The sequence below is a fragment of the Homo sapiens genome, chromosome 3 (assembly GCF_000001405.40).
Source record: "Homo sapiens chromosome 3, GRCh38.p14 Primary Assembly".
NCBI classification, from domain to species: Eukaryota; Metazoa; Chordata; class Mammalia; order Primates; family Hominidae; genus Homo; species Homo sapiens.
In genome coordinates, this window is record NC_000003.12 from 141,283,757 (window position 1) to 141,302,524 (window position 18,768).

Below are 18,768 nucleotides of genomic sequence, written 5' to 3' on the forward strand. Positions count from 1 at the left end.
GTCTGCCTCTTCTGCTTGCCTTAACATTCTGTGCAGAACTCAGTCATTGCTGAGATTTTAAATAAACAATAAATGTTCTCATGGGTGTGTGGATTAGCCTTGGGGTTCAGCCTCAAACTTTGTGGCATAAATAGATGTGAATAATGCATATAAAAGTGAAGATAAGGACTCCAAAGTGAATGACTTGAAGGCTTAAGATAGTAACACTTTTGATTATTTCAGTTTTCATTATGAAAGCAGATTTTCAATGAGCCCACAATAATATGAGTTTTTCCTAAAGAAAAATTTATTTTCATGGATATAATTATGTCTGCATTAGTCAGGGTACACCTATTTTGTAAGTTTATTTTGTAGCACAGGGACTCATGAATGCATTACCTTAAATAACAAGGAAGTTTAGCTCTTCCTCATGTGAAGGTCTGAAATGTGTGTTCCAGATTGTGCTAGTCAGCTCCACCTGGTCATTCAGGGCCCCAGGTTTCTTCCAGGTTGTTGTTTCTACCATCCCCTGGGGATGGCTACATGGTTGAACCCTGGTTGCTGCCATGCCTAAATAATGGCTGGAAGGAAGGAAGATAATGTGAACCGGGCATACACATGATCAGAAAGCCTGAACCCAGAAGTGGCATACATCTTTCCGTTCTGTTGGCGAATGCGGCTTTACCTCATTTCAGGACCTCAGAAATAGGATCTAACCAAGTTCTTAAGAAGAGAATAGATTTTAGTGTACGACTAGTACACTAGTCTCATCCACACTAGCCTTTAGTTTTAATACAGTCATCCATAGAGGATTGGTTCCAGGATCCTCCTTGGATACCAGAATCTGAGATGCTCAAGTCCCTTATGTAAAATGGTGTTGTATTTACACAGAACCTGCGCACATTCTCCCATGTACTTTACATCATCTCTAGATTACTTATAACGCCAAACACAATGTAAATGCTGTGTAAATAGTTGTTATTTGTATTATTTTTATTGTTGTATTGTTATTTCTTATTGGGTTTTTTCCAAGTATTTTTGGATCCACAGTTGAATCTTCCAATGCAGAATCTGAAGAGATGGAGGGCCGACTATATTTTCATCAAAATCTGAATATTTTAACAAACCGTATGGGAACTTATCGTATTCATTTCTACAGATTATGGAAGGCTTGCTATTTTCATGAAACATCCAAGGATGGGACACTTCACAGTTGAATTCACTCACATATATTTTTAGAGCATCTGCTATGTGCTAAGCACCCTCTGGGCTCCAGGGATGGAGCAGTGGACCAGGCAGACAAGGCCTGGGTAGTCAGATCCAGGTCCAGGACTCGAGTTACCTGGTCTGCTTTCCACTAAAAAGATACAGCCATTTGTTGTCAAATGTTTTTTTTCTTTTTCTTTTTCTTTTTTTTTTTTTTTTTTTTGAGACAGGGTATCTCTTTGTCACCCAGGCTAGAGTACAGTAGTACAATCACAGCTCACTGCAGCCTCGACCTCCTGGACTCATGTGATCCTCCTGCTTTAGCCTCCTGAGTGGCTGAGACTATAGGCCTGCGCCACCATGCCTGGCTAGTTTTTGTATTTTTTGTAGAGACATGGTCTCACTATGTTGGCCAGTCTCAAACTCCTGGCCCCAAGCAGTCCTCCCACCTCGGCCTCCCAAAATGCTGGGATTACAGGCATGAGCCACCATGCCCGGCCTGTTAGCTATTCTTTAAATGAAGTTTTTCTTCCACAAATCTTCATCTTTGCATGCCAAAAACAAACAACACAACAACAACAACAAAAAAAAACAAAAATAAAAAACATTGGAATGAATGCAGTTAGATATCATTAAGCAGTCAGATGCCCTGAAAACCTGGGTCACCTCAGCAAACACTTCCAGTCATGAAATTCCATTTCTAAAATTGGCAGCAAAGCTTTCTCAGATCCTCAAAAAAAGCTCCAACCTGAAATAATGGCCTGGTGCAGAACATTTGACTCCTGTTGATGGATAGCCTTTGTTTATGTGGATTACTCTTGGCAGCCTCATTGTCAGTCTGGACATTTTATTTCCCAGTTTGCAAACATTTATGTGCTTTAGCCTCAGGCAAAATAACGTACCCTGTTTTTGTGGAAAGGCATAACTCCCTTTAGCTATCCAGGGTGATTTATTAGACTATATTACATGTCTGGATTAGTATTCTCTAATTTAAAAACGTATTTTTAAAAGATGGATTTTTTTTTTAGCTTTATGTTGTTGATAGATAATAAACCCATTTTGGCAGCCATTTTTAAAGCACTTTCAAAGTTAACTGGGCCTTCAGACAGCAGGGGTTTGCCATTAGAACAGTTTATCTTTGCTTCTTTTCATGCTGATTCTTATAGAGTTTAGGCATGAACTACTCTATCTGTCCACTTCTCTTCAGCTGGAAAATGTATATACATTCATAGGCTACTTCATTATTCAAAGAAAAGATGTTTATATTCATAGGTCATTTCATTATTCAGGGTAATTGTATATTAGTGACTAGAAAGATTTACCACATATACTTTGTGGCAGAAATATAGATACTCTCAGATCTCATATATAAACTTTTTTTGACATTTATTATTACCCTATATTAAATGAGAGGTTGTATGTCCAAAACGTGGAGTGGATTGTAAAGAGGTATAGAGATCCTGGTTATCTTATTCAGTTAACAATTTTCCTAAAGGGGGATTTTTCAGAGGTCAGAAAAATTAAGGATTATGGGTGACCTTGATAAAGGATAGGGTAGATTTTCTAGGAGGAAGGGATAGCTCGTGGGAAGTGGTGGAAGTGTTGAAGAATGAGGTGCGTTGTGTGTTGGAGGAAAGAAGGCCTTTGGCTTGGCGTGGCCAGAGCACAGTATTAGGGTAGAGAGGGCCAGTGAGTACCAGGGCGAGGCCAGAATAGAGGGACAGGCTGTGTGTGGCCCCTTCCAGAAGGTGGTGATAGGGAAGGGCAGTGACTGGTCAGAGTTACCTTTTAAATCAATCCTTCTGGTGGTGGAGAAGGCAAGATTATTAGAGGGGCATGCTTAATCAGCAAGAAGACCAATAAAGAGCCCATTGCCAGCCAGACAAAAGCTGCCTGAGGCCAGAACCTAGGTAGTAGCTGTGAGGATGAAGGAGAAGGGGATGGAGAAGCACCAGGAGAAAGAATCTGCAAGACATGGGGAGCAGACAGCATGTGCAGGGGCAGGGAATGGAGAGAGTGGGACGATGCCCAGCCTAGGCGTGACTGCTGGGTGGGTGTTGGCGGCCTCCCGGAGAGCGAGCCCGGAAGGCAGCACAGGTTGGGGAGCCGGAAGATAGACGGCGAAGCTGAATCCCACAGTACTGAGTTCAGCAGAGGTTAGGAACTCTGGCCAACCTCACAGAGGGGATTTCATGTGTCAGTGTCAGTGGTCGAGAAATAATGAAATTGGAACTGAAAAGTGATTGAGCCGGTACCTGTTACTGTGGGTGCAAAAGGCTGCGATACACGTGGGATTTGGCTCGCTGAAGCTGGAAACTGTTTGGATTCTTGTGGAGCACTCTGACCTCTAACTCTCTCTATCATCTCTCTAGGAAACCGTATCACCCAAAACTGGAAGCTTTCATTAGTCACATGTCAAAAGGATCCGGAGCCTCTTTCGAAAGCCCCTTGAACTCCTTGCCTCTTTACCCAAATCACCCATTGTGTGAGATGGGAGAGCTCACACAGACAGGTATGTGTGACCCCCATGCGCTCAGGGGTTCCCCCACCCGCTCTTCTGCTTGCATACCTTCCGAGCAGTTCTCCTGGGCGGGGTGCTGTGCAGCTCAGAGGGGGTAAGCAAGGACTGGCTCTGCAAGGAGCTCGGTCACCAGGGCCTCTAAATAAACATCAGAGTTCTCAAAACTAAATAGAACCTTTCTCCTTCTTACAAAAACAATACGTGTTCATGAAAATAATTTAGGAAAGACAAGTAAAAAGAAGAAAAAGTTTAAGCAACCGTAATTCCACCACAGAAATAGACCCTTAAGAGTAACCCTTCTTCCTGTGCTTATGCACACACACACATCTTACTAAACACACTATTTCATAACCCACTTTTCCACTCAACAACACATTTTGTTAATATTTCCCTATGAATAACTGTTTATCCACTACATCATTTATGATAGCGCCATATTCTTTCACTCTGGATGGGCAATTGATCATTTATTTAACTAATCTCATGTTCTCAGATATTTCTAACAAAACTTCTAATAGGTTTTCATGTACAAGATCTCAGGGAGGAAAATGCATGGCACATTTCTACTGCATGTGGAGTTTGTTTGGCTGAGCTGAGTTCTCACAGAAGCACAGCTTTCCCTCCGCAGCCCTAGTCAGACCATGTGCAGTCAGTTCACCATCAGGGTAGGTTGGTGAGTTAACTGTGGAGTCACCTTTGCTGGGAATAGAGGAACAGGTGGTCCTTCAAGAGGTTTCAGTTTTCTGATTCTTCAATCTGGAACCTCAGAGGACCTTTGCCTGGTCACCAGCCTTTATGGGTGAATTGGGAAGACCCATTGGCCATGTTCTGTCTTCATCTTGCATCAGCATCTTAGGACTTCAGCAGGGATGGAGGGAAGGTCTCCATCCTATAGTAGGCCCTCTTAGGTTTTGCCATTATTATTGGGGAAATGATATTGGATAGACAGAGTGGAACAAGCTGAAGCCTCTGGAGGACTAGCCGTGGATAAGGAGTTGTGTCAAAAGCCTTTGGCAATTAGTTCCACATGCATTACTTTAGAACGAGGGTTTTCATCCTAGCAGATCCAACACCCCCTTTGATTACACAATTAACTATTTTGCAATCTCCCTCAACTATCATGAAGTGAAATTTAAATATAATGTAACCAGCCAGGCATGGTGCCTCATGCCTGTAATCCCAGCACTTTGGGAGGCTGAGGCAGGATAATCGTTTGAGCCTGAGGGTTCGAGAGCAGTCTGAGCAACATAGTGGAACCCCATCTCTACAAACAATTTTTTAAAATTAGCCAAGTGTGGTGGCATGTGCCTGTAGTCCCAGCTACTCAGGTGGCTGAGGCGGGAGGACCACTTGAGCCCGGGAGGTCAAGGCTGCAGTGAACCATGATCATGCCACTGCACTCCAGCCTGAGTGACAAAGTGAGGCCCTGTCTCAATGAATGAATGAATGAATGAATGTAATCTTTCTATGCAGTTAATTACTTAAAAGTTATACCAGGGTCCCCAGCGATAACAAATGAAAAGAAACTAATTTACTACCTAATTATATGTGTCTCTGTATAAATGCTTAAGAACAGCTACACTAGAAAATAGAATGAAATCTTCAAATGCTTGTACCTAAATGTGACTCTGACAACTACAAATGCAGATGATTGATGGATGCTGTATTGTTGACTCTTAATACCACATGTCAGGACATGGTTTTTCTGAAGTTCTGATCAAAACAAAATATAGATGTTCCTTAGTTTATATTGTATTTCTGGAAAATTCAGTGAACATTAATATTATACAAAAATGGTTTTGTGTTCTAGACACAAAAACAGAATTAGATTCTACAGTCTAAAGTATTCAAATATGTTTTGCACGTGATGGAATGTCTCATGCTGCATTCAAAAGTTGTGTGGGACAGAGACACGTGTCCCTTCTGGAGACCAGCCCCCCAGCCCCTACCCACTAGGTGCCAGGAATGCCTTTCCCCATACTATTGTGATAACTCCACCCCCAAGCCCTCTCTGAAGGCAGTAGCACTCTTGCTGAGAACTGCTGCTTAGATTCTCTGGTTAAAAATAACAGAAAACACCTCAAGCAAAAAAAGGAAATTTATTATAAGAATTCAGGAATGACTCACAGACTCTAAGATCAAGAGTGTGACCAGACCTCTAGAGACTGGAACCAGGAATAAAAAAGCTGTCTTGTCCCTGCCTCTCTCTCTAATTTTTTGTTGTGTCTGTCAACAAAATTACAGTCCCAGCCACACACACAGATGAACTTGCAAATCCAAATTCTTGAGAGAGGGAGAATCCTTGAGGTCCTAGGGGTTAGCATCCATCAGCCCTGGCTAACAGGTCAGGGTGACTGTGCAGAGAACAGGAGGTGAGGGCGCCAGTCTCTGGATCCAGGAGCTGCTACCTGAGAAGAGGCTGGGGGGTTGGCCCTCACACACCTAATCATTCATTCAGATCTTTCTTCTCAATTCATCTATCATCATCATCGTTTCTAAATTAGTGTTACTCTAGAAATCATTTTTGTAATACTGTCTGCTCCTGTTTCCTCATTCTCTTTTAATGGTCATTTTTATTTCTATTTTAAATATCATGAAAAATGCATGGCTGTTATAATCATCTTTTGTCCCTGGTGCACTTACGGCACCCTACAGTAACTATGTAAGGTAAGATTGCTCATGAGTGCCTACCCTGTTGAAGATGCTTTGGCAGCTGCTGAGTGTGAGAGGGTAGCAGGATGAATAGGACCCTCCTGCCTGTCCTAAAGAAGGCTGCAACTGCAGCACACAATGTGCGTGGAGACAACTGCCTGTAATGCCAGATACTGCAGGGCCTTAGAGAGTAAACACAGGCCTTGGAGTCAGACAGACCTGTAGCATGGGGAGGAGCCTGTCTTCCCAGTGGCTGGTGGTGAATTTGATGAGGTAGCATGTGTAGAGTGCCTAGTGCAGTGCCGGCATATGAGAGGCTCCCAATAAATGCAGCTGATGTTGTCATGGTCCAGCAGCATATGGGAAGAGGAAGGAATTATTAACTTGACCAGGGAGAAGAAGAAGGAAAGCACTACAGAGCAGGTAGTGTTGGAGCTTGGAGCCAGGCCCTGGGAGGATTTCCCTAGGGAGAGAAAGGGGAACGGTATGAACAAAGCCATGAAGATGCAGGCTATGTTTGGCAAGTATAAGAAGCCCTAAATAGCTAGAACTTTGTATTTCGGCATGAAAATGTAAGGGTCTAAGAGCATAAAATTAGGACCAGATGGGGTCTTGGGTTTTAGCTCTGCCACTTTTTAACTGTAAATGGTTCAGGGCCTTTGTTTCTTCATCTATAAAATAAGGAAAATATAAAATATAATAATATACCTTCTTCATTGGGTTTTTGTGAGGATTAAATGGGAAAGGCCTGGCACACAGTAAGCACTCTAACTTTATGTGGCCTAACCAAATAAAATAGGCCCCGCAGTGAACTAGGGTGAGACACGGAATCTAATGTTTGTCTCTCACGGTTTGCATGTTTTTTTGCAAAGCGTCTTGGAAGTGCTAAATCCTGTTCCAGCCTTTAGTTCCTGGGTTCCTGGGGGAGTTCTGTTCTCAATACTCTTCATGCACAGTAGGACCCAGACATCCTTTGTGGGTTTTGCTGAGCTGTTCCCTTTCCCAGGGGAACATATTTCCCTCTGTCTCACAATTTTCAGCTGAAGTTGTCTCATCTTTGCAGTGGGACTTTTCATACTGTTTGGACATCTGAATAAATGGTGTCACTGGTCACAGGGCCTGTGTGTAGAACTCATGCCCATGACAGATTGTGTCCCGTTACCTCCTACTACAGGATGAGAGTGAGCTTGTTTTTGTCTTGGGTTGCCTTCTTCTGCTTAAAGATAAGGCTTTTTCCAATGTTAAAAGTTAATTTATTATCATACCATGATAGTTCAAAACTAAAACAGTACTAAGAAGTAAACTTTAAATTCTTGCTTCTACCCATGTTCCATCCACCTCATTTTTGTACCTCCGTCACCCCCAGGGAACCATTGAGATTAGTTTCTTATACAACTTTCCAAAGTTTCTTTATGCAAAACTCAGGCAGCTGCAAATACATATTCTTATTTTTCCCTCTCTTTCTTTTTAAAGGAGCATAATCAACATACTGTTCTACACTTGGCTTTTTTCCAGTATTCTATCTGGGTATCAGGAGATTGTTCCATATCATACAGAGAATGCATGTGTGTTGACGAGTCTGTAAAGCCCCCAGGATCAGGCAGAACGTACCCAGCAGGTTATCAGAGAACATTCGGTTGGCAGGCTGGGGAGGATGGGGTCAAGGAGGGGACTCTCCAGCAGTGAGGAGACAGCAGCAAGCAGGGAATCTGCAGTCAGCCTTCGCCTGAGCGGTTTCACTGAGCACTCGCTGCACACTGAGGAATGCTGGACAGGAGGGAAAAACCTCTCCTTAGGCCCATGCAATTACAGATATCCCCTGGCTGGGTGACTTCGAACCCTGAGACCAACCAGTCACAACACTTTCCCCAGGGAAGAGGCCAGTCTGGAGGCCAAGTGCAAGGCAGATGGTCCAAAGGCCGTGGTTCTCAAGGCCAGGGCCCCGCTCTGCTCATCCTTCATGAATAACCCCAAGAGGCTCCCTTCACAAGCTGTTGTGAACTCGAGCTTGTAACTTCCACACCATGGGGAAACAGGCTGGATGCCATTCTCTTGCCCTAAAACACTCCAGAGCCACACGCTGACTCCACCTCCCCTTGCTGTTTCTTTTGCTCAGCTGGAAGTAAGGTAAGCTTTGTGTGCTTGTGTTTCAGGAGTTGTGCAGCATTTGCAGAACGGTCAGCTGCTGAGGGATATCTATCTAAAGAAACACAAACTCCTGCCCAATGATTGGTCTGCAGACCAGCTCTATTTAGAGACCACTGGGAAAAGCCGGACCCTACAAAGTGGGCTGGCCTTGCTTTATGGCTTTCTCCCAGATTTTGACTGGAAGAAGATTTATTTCAGGCACCAGCCAAGTGCGCTGTTCTGCTCTGGAAGCTGCTATTGCCCGGTAAGAAACCAGTATCTGGAAAAGGAGCAGCGTCGTCAGTACCTCCTACGTTTGAAAAACAGCCAGCTGGAGAAGACCTACGGGGAGATGGCCAAGATCGTGGATGTCCCCACCAAGCAGCTTAGAGCTGCCAACCCCATAGACTCCATGCTCTGCCACTTCTGCCACAATGTCAGCTTTCCCTGTACCAGAAATGGCTGTGTTGACATGGAGCACTTCAAGGTAATTAAGACCCATCAGATCGAGGATGAAAGGGAAAGACGGGAGAAGAAATTGTACTTCGGGTATTCTCTCCTGGGTGCCCACCCCATCCTGAACCAAACCATCGGCCGGATGCAGCGTGCCACCGAGGGCAGGAAAGAAGAGCTCTTTGCCCTCTACTCTGCTCATGATGTCACTCTGTCACCAGTTCTCAGTGCCTTGGGCCTTTCAGAAGCCAGGTTCCCAAGGTTTGCAGCCAGGTTGATCTTTGAGCTTTGGCAAGACAGAGAAAAGCCCAGTGAACATTCCGTCCGGATTCTTTACAATGGCGTCGATGTCACATTCCACACCTCTTTCTGCCAAGACCACCACAAGCGTTCTCCCAAGCCCATGTGCCCGCTTGAAAACTTGGTCCGCTTTGTGAAAAGGGACATGTTTGTAGCCCTGGGTGGCAGTGGTACAAATTATTATGATGCATGTCACAGGGAAGGATTCTAAAAGGTATGCAGTACAGCAGTATAGAATCCATGCCAATACAGAGCATAGGGAAAGGTCCACTTCTAGTTTTGTCTGTTACTAAGGGTAGAAGATTATTGCTTTTTAAAGGCTAAATATTGTTTGTGGGAACCACAGATGGTTGGGGTTGAACAGTAAGCACATTGCTGCAATGTGGTACGTGAATTGCTTGGTACAAAATGGCCAGTTCACAGAGGAATAGAAGGTACTTTATCATAGCCAGACTTCGCTTAGAATGCCAGAATAATATAGTTCAAGACCTGAAGTTGCCAATCCAAGTTTGCACTCTTCTGGCCTGCCCCATGTTACTATGTGATGGAACCAGCACACCTCAACCAAAATTTTTTTAATCTTAGACATTTTTACCTTGTCCTTGTTAAGAATTTCTTGAAGTGATTTATCTAAAATAAAGGTTGGCAAACTTTTTCTGTAAAGGGCCAGATTGTAAATATTTCAGACTGTGTGGACCAAAAGGCCACATACAGTCTCTGTCATAACTACTCAACTCTGTTTCTGAAGCAGGAAAGCCACCACAGACAGTACATAAAGGAATATGTGTAGCTGGGTTCCCAGGCCGGACAAAACAGATGGTGACCAGATTTGGCCCCTGGGCTGTAGTTTGCTGACCCCTCATCTAAAAAATAGGCTATACTACAATTGCACTTCCAGCACTTTGAGAACGAGTTGAATACCAAGAATTATTCAATGGTTCCTCCAGTAACTTCTGCTAGAAACACAGAATTTGGTCTGTATCTGACACTAGAACAAAACTTGAGGGTAAATAAACATTGAATTAGAATGAATCATAGAAAACTGATTAGAAGAATACTTGATGTTTATGATGATTGTGGTACAAGATAGTTTTAAGTATGTTCTAAATATTTGTCTGCTGTAGTCTATTTGCTGTATATGCTGAAATTTTTGTATGCCATTTAGTATTTTTATAGTTTAGGAAAATATTTTCTAAGACCAGTTTTAGATGACTCTTATTCCTGTAGTAATATTCAATTTGCTGTACCTGCTTGGTGGTTAGAAGGAGGCTAGAAGATGAATTCAGGCACTTTCTTCCAATAAAACTAATTATGGCTCATTCCCTTTGACAAGCTGTAGAACTGGATTCATTTTTAAACCATTTTCATCAGTTTCAAATGGTAAATTCTGATTGATTTTTAAATGCGTTTTTGGAAGAACTTTGCTATTAGATAGTTTACAGATCTTTATAAGGTGTTTTATATATTAGAAGCAATTATAATTACATCTGTGATTTCTGAACTAATGGTGCTAATTCAGAGAAATGGAAAGTGAAAGTGAGATTCTCTGTTGTCATCGGCATTCCAACTTTTTCTCTTTGTTTTTGTCCAGTGTTGCATTTGAATATGTCTGTTTCTATAAATAAATTTTTTAAGAATACCTATACTATACAACTAATGGTTTGTACCTATAAGTCACTCGAGTTATTTTCAAGTGAGAGCCAGTATTTTATTTTTCCCCCTTCATTCAAATGTCATGCAGAGAACCAGTATTTTAAAATTTTATTTTAACTGCTTTACTAACTGCTGAAAGTTGTGTTATCTCTCAAGTATTCAAAGACTAAATGTGTTTTCTTTCCTTCCCACTCACAATATATCTGAATTAGAACTGCTAAACACAGCTTGAAGACTTAAAAATAAAAGTGACTCGGAAGATTTTTTAAAAAATCAATTGATAGTATCTGTTGGTAAAAGTAAATATTGTGGCTAAGAGTCAACACCAAAAGTGTAGATAACAGTTTTGTCTTCTAAGACACTGGTATGCACAGCATCAAAATATCTTCCTCACTATCAAGTTCCGAGACACTTCATTCCATAACAAACACTAAGCACAGAGATGAGATCAGTGGACACAGTCATAGTCCTTGGTTTCTGGGCAGTGGTCTAATGACTTAACTCATGACAGGCCTGGGTGTATACATGCATAATTTAGCTTCCTTGTTTTTATGATTAATACATGCCCACTAGAAAATAACCAATACTGAAAAACAGCTTCAGAAGTGATGTTCTCATCTAATCCCACCTCCAGAGGTAATGTTGTGAGCTGTCTGACATTCTTCTGGAAAAGTTCCATGTAGATTCAGAAATATATGTAGTTTTTAATAGGAACTAGATCATTTTATATATATGTAAATATATATAATATGTGTGTGTATATATATATAGTTCTGTGACTTGCTTCCCTTAAAAATATTTTTCCTTTAAAAATACTTTTAATAGCTTGTATCTTTTAATAGTATGTCTTAGAAGTATTTCTCTTTTTTTTTACAATGTAATTATTTATTTATTTTTCTTTTTTTTATTATATTTTAAGTTCTAGGGTACATGTTCACAACGTGCAGCTTTGTTACATATGTATACATGTGCCATGTTGGTGTGCTGCACCCATTAACTCGTCATTTACATTAGGTATATCTCCCAATGCTATCCCTCCCCCAGCCCCCCACTCCACAACAGGCCTCAGTGTGTGATGTTCCCCTTCCTGTGTCCAAGTGCTCTCATTGTTCAATTCCCACCTATGAGTGAGAACACGTGGTGTTTGGTTTTTTGTCCTTGCGATAGTTTGCTGAGAATGATGGTTTCCAGTTTCATCCATGTCCCTACAAAGGACATGGACTCATCATTTTTTATGGCTGCATGGTATTCCATGGTGTATATGTGCCACATTTTCTTAATCCAGTCTATCATTGATGGACATCTGGGTTGGTTCCAAGTCTTTGCTATTGTGAATAGTGCCGCAATAAACATACGTGTGCATGTGTCTTTATAGCAGCATGATTTATAATCTTTTGGGTATATACCCAGTAATGGGATCGCTGGGTCAAATGCTACTTCTAGTTCTAGATCCTTGAGGAATCGCCACACTGTCTTCCACAATGGTTGAACTAGTTTACAGTCCCACCAACAGTGTAAAAGTGTTCCTGTTTCTCCACATCCTCTCCAGCACCTGTTGTTTCCTGGCTTTTTAATGATCGCCATTCTAACTGGTGTGAGATGGTATCTCGTTGTGGTTTTGATTTGCATTTCTCTGATGGCCAGTGATGATGAGCATTTTTTCATGTGTCTGTTGGCTGCATAATGTCTTCTTTTGAGAAGCATCTGTTCATATCCTTCGCCCACTTGCTGATGGGGTTGTTTGTTTCTTGTAAATTTGTTTGAGTTCTTTGTAGATTCTGGATATTAGCCCTTTGTCAGATGAGTAGATTGCAAAAATTTTTTCCCATTCTGTAGGTTGCCTGTTCACTCTGATGGTAGTTTCTTTTGCTGTGCAGAAGCTCTTTAGTTTAATGAGATCCCATTTGTCAATTTTGGCTTTTGTTGCCATTGCTTTTGGTGTTTTAGACATGAAGTCCTTGCCCATGCCTATGTCCTGAATGGTATTGCCTAGATTTTCTTCTAGGGTTTTTATGGTTTTAGGTCTAACATTTAGGTCTTTAATCCATCTTGAATTAATTTTTGTATAAGGTGTAAGGAAGGGATCCAGTTTCAGCTTTCTACATATGGCTAGCCAGTTTTCCCAGCACCATTGATTAAATAGGGAATCCTTTCCCTAGTTCTTGTTTTTGTCAGGTTTGCCAAAGATCAGATGGTTGTAGATGTGTGGTATTATTTCTGAGGGCTCTGTTCTGTTCCATTGGTCTATATCTCTGTTTTGGTACCAGTACCATGCTGTTTCGGTTACTGTAGCCTTGTAGTATAGTTTGAAGTCAGGTAGCGTGATGCCTCCAGCTTTGTTCTTTTGGCTTAGGATTGACTTGGCAATGAGGGCTCTTTTTTGGTTCCGTATGAACTTTAAAGTAGTTTTTTCCAATTCTGTGAAGAAAGTCATTGGTAGCTTGATGGGGATGGTATTGAATCTGTAAATTACTTCGGACAGTATGGCCATTTTCACAATATTGATTCTTCCTATCCATGAGCATGGAATGTTCTTCCATTTGTTTGTGTCCTCTTTTATTTCGTTGAGCAGTGGTTTGTAGTTCTCCTTGAAGAGGTCCTTCACATCCCTTGTAAGTTGGATTCCTAGGTATTTTATTCCCTTTGAAGCAATTGTGAATGGGAGTTCACTCATGATTTGGCTCTCTGTTTGTTTGTTATTGGTGTATAAGAATGCTTGTGATTTTTTCACATTGATTTTGTATCCTGAGACTTTGCTGAAGTTGCTTATCAGCTTAAAGGAGATTTTGGGCTGAGACAATGGGGTTTTCTAGATATACAATCATGTCACCTGCAAACAGGGACAATTTGACTTCCTCTTTTCCTAATTGAATACCCTTTGTTTCTTTCTCCTGCCAGATTGCCCTGGCCAGAACTTCCAACACTATGTTGAATAGGAGTGGTGAGAGAGGGCATCCTGTCTTGTGCCGGTTTTCAAAGGGAATGCTTCCAGTTTTTGCCCATTCAGTATGATATTGGCTGTGGGTTTGTCATAAATAGCTCTTTTATTTTGAGATAAATCCCATCAATACCTAATTTATTGAGAGTTTTTAGCATGAAGGGCTGTTGAATTTTGTCAGAGGCCTTTTCTGCATCTAATGAGATAATCATGTGGTTTTTGTCTTTGGTTCTGTTTATATGCTGGATTATGTTTATTGATTTGCGTATGTTGAACCAACCTTGCATCCCAGGAATGAAGTCCACTTGATCATGGTGGATAAGCTTTTTGATGTGCTGCTGGATTCGGTTTGCCAGTATTTTATTGAGGATTTTTGCATCAGTGTTCATCAGGGATGTTGGTCTAAAATTCTCTTTTTTTGTGGTGTCTCTGTCAGGCTTTGGTATCAGGATGATGCTGGCCTCATAAAATGAGTTAGGGAGGATTCCCTCTTTTTCTATTGATTGGAATAGTTTCAGAAGGAATGGTACCAGCTCCTCCTTGTACCTCCGGTAGAATTCAGCTGTGAATCCATCTGGTCCTGGACTTTTTTTGGTTGGTATGCTATTAATTATTACCTCAATTTCAGAGCCTGTTATTGGTCTATTCAGAGATTCAACTTCTTCCTGGTTTAGTCTTGGGAGGGTGTATGTGTCCAGGAATTTGTCCATTTCTTCTAGATTTTCTAGTTTATTTGCGTAGAGGTGTTTGTAGTATTCTCTGATGGTAATTTGTATTTCTGTGGGATTGGTGGTGATATCCCCTTCATCATTTTTTATTGCATCTATTTGATTCTTCTCTCTTTTCTTCTTTATTAGTCTTGCTAGTGGACTATCAATTTTGTTGATCTTTTCAAAAAACCACCTCCTGGATTCATTGATTTTTTTGAAGGGTTTTTTGTGTGTCTATCTCCTTCAGTTCTGCTCTGATCTTAGTTATTTCTTGCCTTTTGCTAGCTTTTGAATGTGTTTGCTCTTGCTTCTCTAGTTCTTTTAATTGTGATGTTAGGGTGTCAATTTTAGATCTTTCCTGCTTTCTCTTGTGGGCATTTAGTGTTATAAATTTCCCTCTACACACTGCTTTAAATGTGTCCCAGAGATTATGGTATGTTGTGTCTTTGTTCTCATTGGTTTCAAAGAACATCTTTATTTCTGCCTTCATTTCGTTATGTACTCAGTAGTCATTCAGGAGCAAGTTGTTCGGATTCCATGTAGTTGAGCAGTTTTGAGTGAGTTTCTTAATCCTGAGTCCTAGATTGCACTGTGGTCTGAGAGACAGTTTGTTATAATTTCTGTTCTTTTACATTTGCTGAGGAGTGCTTTACTTCCAACTATGTGGTCAATTTTGGAATAAGTGTGATGTGGTGCTAAGAAGGTATATTCTGTTGATTTGGGATGGAGAGTTCTGTAGATGTCTATTAGGTCCGCTTGGTGCAGAGCTGAGTTCAATTCCTGGATATCCTTGTTAACTTTCTGTCTCGTTGATCTGTCTAATGTTGACAGTGGGGTGTTACAATCTCCCATTATTATTGTGTGGGAGTCTAAGTCTCTCTGTAGGTCTCTAAGGACTTGCTTTATGAATCTGGGTGCTCCTGTATTGGTGCATATATATTTAGGATAGTTAGCTCTTCTTGTTGAATTGATCCTTTTACCATTATGTAATGGCCTTCTTTGTCTCTTTTGATCTTTGTTGGTTTAAAGTCTGTTTTATCAGAGTCTAGGATTGCAACCCCTGCCTTTTTTTGTTTTCCATTTACTTGGTAGATCTTCCTCCATCCCTTTATTTTGAGCCTATGTGTGTCTCTACATGAGATGGGTCTCCTGAATACAGCACACTGATGGGTCTTGACTCTTTATCAAATTTGCCAGTCTCTGTCTTTTAATTGGAGCATTTAGCCCATTTACATTTAAGGTTAATATTGTTATGTATGAATTTGATCCTGTCAGTATGATGTTAGCTGGTTATTTTGCTTGTTAGTTGATGCAGTTTCTTCCTAGCATCAATGCATCAATGGTCTTTTACAATTTGGCATGTTTTTGCAGTGGCTGGTACCAGTTGTTCCTTTCCATGTTTAGTGCTTCCTTCAGCAGCTCTTTTAGGGCAGGCCTGGTGGTGACAAAATCTCTCAGCATTTGCTTGTCTGTAAAGGATTTTATTTCTCCTTCACTTATGAAGCTTAGTTTGGCTGGATATGAAATTCTGGATTGAAAATTCTTTTCTTTAAGAATGTTGAATATTGGCCCCCACTCTCTTCTGGCTTGTAGGGTTTCTGCTGAGAGATCAGCTGTTAGTCTGATGGGCTTCCCTTTGTGGGTAACCCGACCTTTCTCTCTGGCTGCCCTTAACATTTTTTCCTTCATTTCAACTTTGGTGAATCTGACAGTTATGTGTCTTGGAGTTGCTCTTCTCGAGGAGTATCTTTGTGGTGTTCTGTGTATTTCCTGAATTCGAATGTTGGCCTGCCTTGCTAGGTTGGGGAAGTTCTCCTGGATAATATCCTGCAGAGTGTTTTCCAACTTGGTTCCATTCTCCCCGTCACTTTCAGGTACACCAATCAGATGTAGATTTGGTCTTTTCACATAGTCCCATATTTCTTGGAGGGTTTGTTTGTTTCTTTTTACTCTTTTTTCTCTAAACTTCTCTTCTGGCTTCATTTCATTCATTTGATCTTCAATCACTGATACCCTTTCTTCCCATTGATCGAATCGGCTACTGAAGCTTGTGCGTTCATCACATAGTTCTCGTGCCATGGTTTTCAGCTCCATCAGGTCATTTAAGGACTTCTCTACACTGGTTATTCTAGTTAGCCATTCGTCTAATCTTTTTTCAAGGTTTTTTGCTTCTTTGCAATGGGTTCAATCTTCCTCCTTGAGCTCGGAGGAGTTTGATCGTCTGAAGCCTTCTTCTCTCTACTCGTCAAAGTCATTTTCCACCCAGCTTTGTTCTGTTGCTGGCGAGGAGCTGCGTTCCTTTAGAGGGGGAGAGGCGCTCTGATTTTTAGAACTTTCAGTTTTTCTGCTCTGTTTTTTTCCCCATCTTTGTGGTTTTATCTACCTTTGGTCTTTGATGATGGTGATGTACAGATGGGGTTTTGGTGTGGATGTCTTTTCTGTTTGTTAGTTTTCCTTCTAACAGTCAGGACTCTCAGCTGCAGGTCTGTTGGAGTTTGCTGGAGGTCCACTCCAGACCCTGTTTGCTTGGGTATCAGCAGCGGAGGCTGCAGAACAGTGAATGTTGCTGAACAGCAAATGTCACTGCCTAATCGTTCCTTTGGAAGTTTCGTCTCAGAAGGGTACCCAGCCATGTGAGGTGTCAGTCTGCCCCTACTGGGGGGTGCCTCCCAGTTAGGCTACTCGTGGGTCAGGGACCCACTTGAGGAGGCAGTCTGTCCGTTCTCAGATCTCAGACTCCATGCTGGGAGAACCACTGCTCTCTTCAAAGCAGGGACATTTAAGTCTGCAGAGGTTTCTGCTGCCTTTTGTTCAGCTATGCCCTGCCCCCAGAGGTGGAGTCTACAGAGGCAGGCAGGCCTCCTTGAGCTGCGGTGGGCTCCACGCAGTTTAAGCTTCTCAGACTGCTGTACTAGCAATGAGCGGGGCTCTGTGGGCATGGGACCCTCCAAGCCAGGTGCAGGATATAATCTCCTGGTGTGTCGTTTGCTAAGACCATTGGAAAAGTGCAGTATTAGGGTGGGAGTGACCCAATTTTCCAGGTGCCATCTGTCACAGCTTCGCTTGGCTAGGAAAGGGAATTCCCTGACCCCTCGCGCTTCCCGGGTGAGGTGATGCCTCGCCCTGCTTCGGCTCACTCTCGGTGCACTGCATCCACTCACTATCCTGCACCCACTGTCCGACAAGCCCCAGTGAGCTGAACCCGGTACCTCAGTTGGAGATGGAGAAATCACCCGTCTTCTGCGTGCTCATGCTGAAAGCTATAGACTGGAGCTGTTCCTATTTGGCCATCTTGAGAAGTATTTCTCATTAACTTGCCACCCTTATCAGTATGTCGTAAAGATATTTCCATGTTAAGATGATAGGTGATTGATTGACTGATTGAGATGTATATAAATGTAGATGGCTCTTTATAGCCATTGAGTAATATTTCATGGTATAGATTAGACATATTTTAAAAATCTCATTAAAAATCCATGAAATGGCAACTTAAAGCCAAGGTACTAAAACAGGACTACAAGGCTTTACACAGAACAAAGCGGAGGCTCCTTCATTGTGGTGCAGGTATTTATTGATGTGAGGTTTTTTTGGGGTTTTTTTTGAGACGGAGTTTTGCTCTTGCCCAGGCTGGAGTAGAATGGCACAATCTCAGCTCACTGCACCCTCTGCCTCCCAGTTTCAAGCGTTTCTCCTGCCTCAGCCTCCTGAGTAGCTGGGATTACAGGCATGTGCCACCACCACGCCCGGCTAATTTTGTATTTTTAGTAGAGACGGGGTTTCTCCATGTTGGTCAGCCTGGTCTTGAACTCCCAACCTCAGGTGATCCACCCGCCTCAGCCTTCCATAGTGCTGGGATTACAGGTGTGAGCCACCATGCCCAGCCTGATGTAAGTATTCTTTCTCTAACTTCACTTTAAATGAAATTGAGGATCTTAATCTAATATTGCTATTAAGCCTATTTGAGGGTTTTCATAGCCATAGCAGAATTAGACTTTCTGGAAGATTTAGGTGATTCCTTTTTCCAGAAGTCTTAAAGACTGTCTAGAGAGAGGCAGAGATACATGCTTCTGTTTCTCTGAATCTCAGGGAAGCCTTCTGAACAGATTTAGCAGTCCAGACAAGGGTGGGTGTGCCACCTTGTGTTTAAACACAACCACGAGTAGCAGAAAATAGCTGGGGTTTATGTTGCAGTTGTGGCTTTAAGAGCAGCCAGCACAAAGCTCTGGCCT

At 42.0% G+C, this 18,768-nt stretch overlaps 1 protein-coding gene across 28 annotated transcripts in view; it reads left to right on the forward strand.

The window, feature by feature from the left end:
- PXYLP1 (2-phosphoxylose phosphatase 1) overlaps nucleotides 1-11,168 on the forward strand; it is a 63,100-nt gene extending 51,932 nt beyond the window's left edge. For all 28 annotated transcript variants that reach the window (XM_047449228.1, XM_047449230.1, XM_047449223.1 and 25 more), the window contains 2 exons: nucleotides 3,558-3,697; nucleotides 8,512-11,168. In XM_047449228.1, coding sequence (XP_047305184.1) covers nucleotides 3,558-3,697; nucleotides 8,512-9,449 — 1,078 coding nt within the window. In that variant the 3' untranslated portion in view covers nucleotides 9,450-11,168. The remainder of the gene's footprint in view (nucleotides 1-3,557; nucleotides 3,698-8,511) is intronic.
- Nucleotides 11,169-18,768: the final 7,600 nt, after the last annotated feature.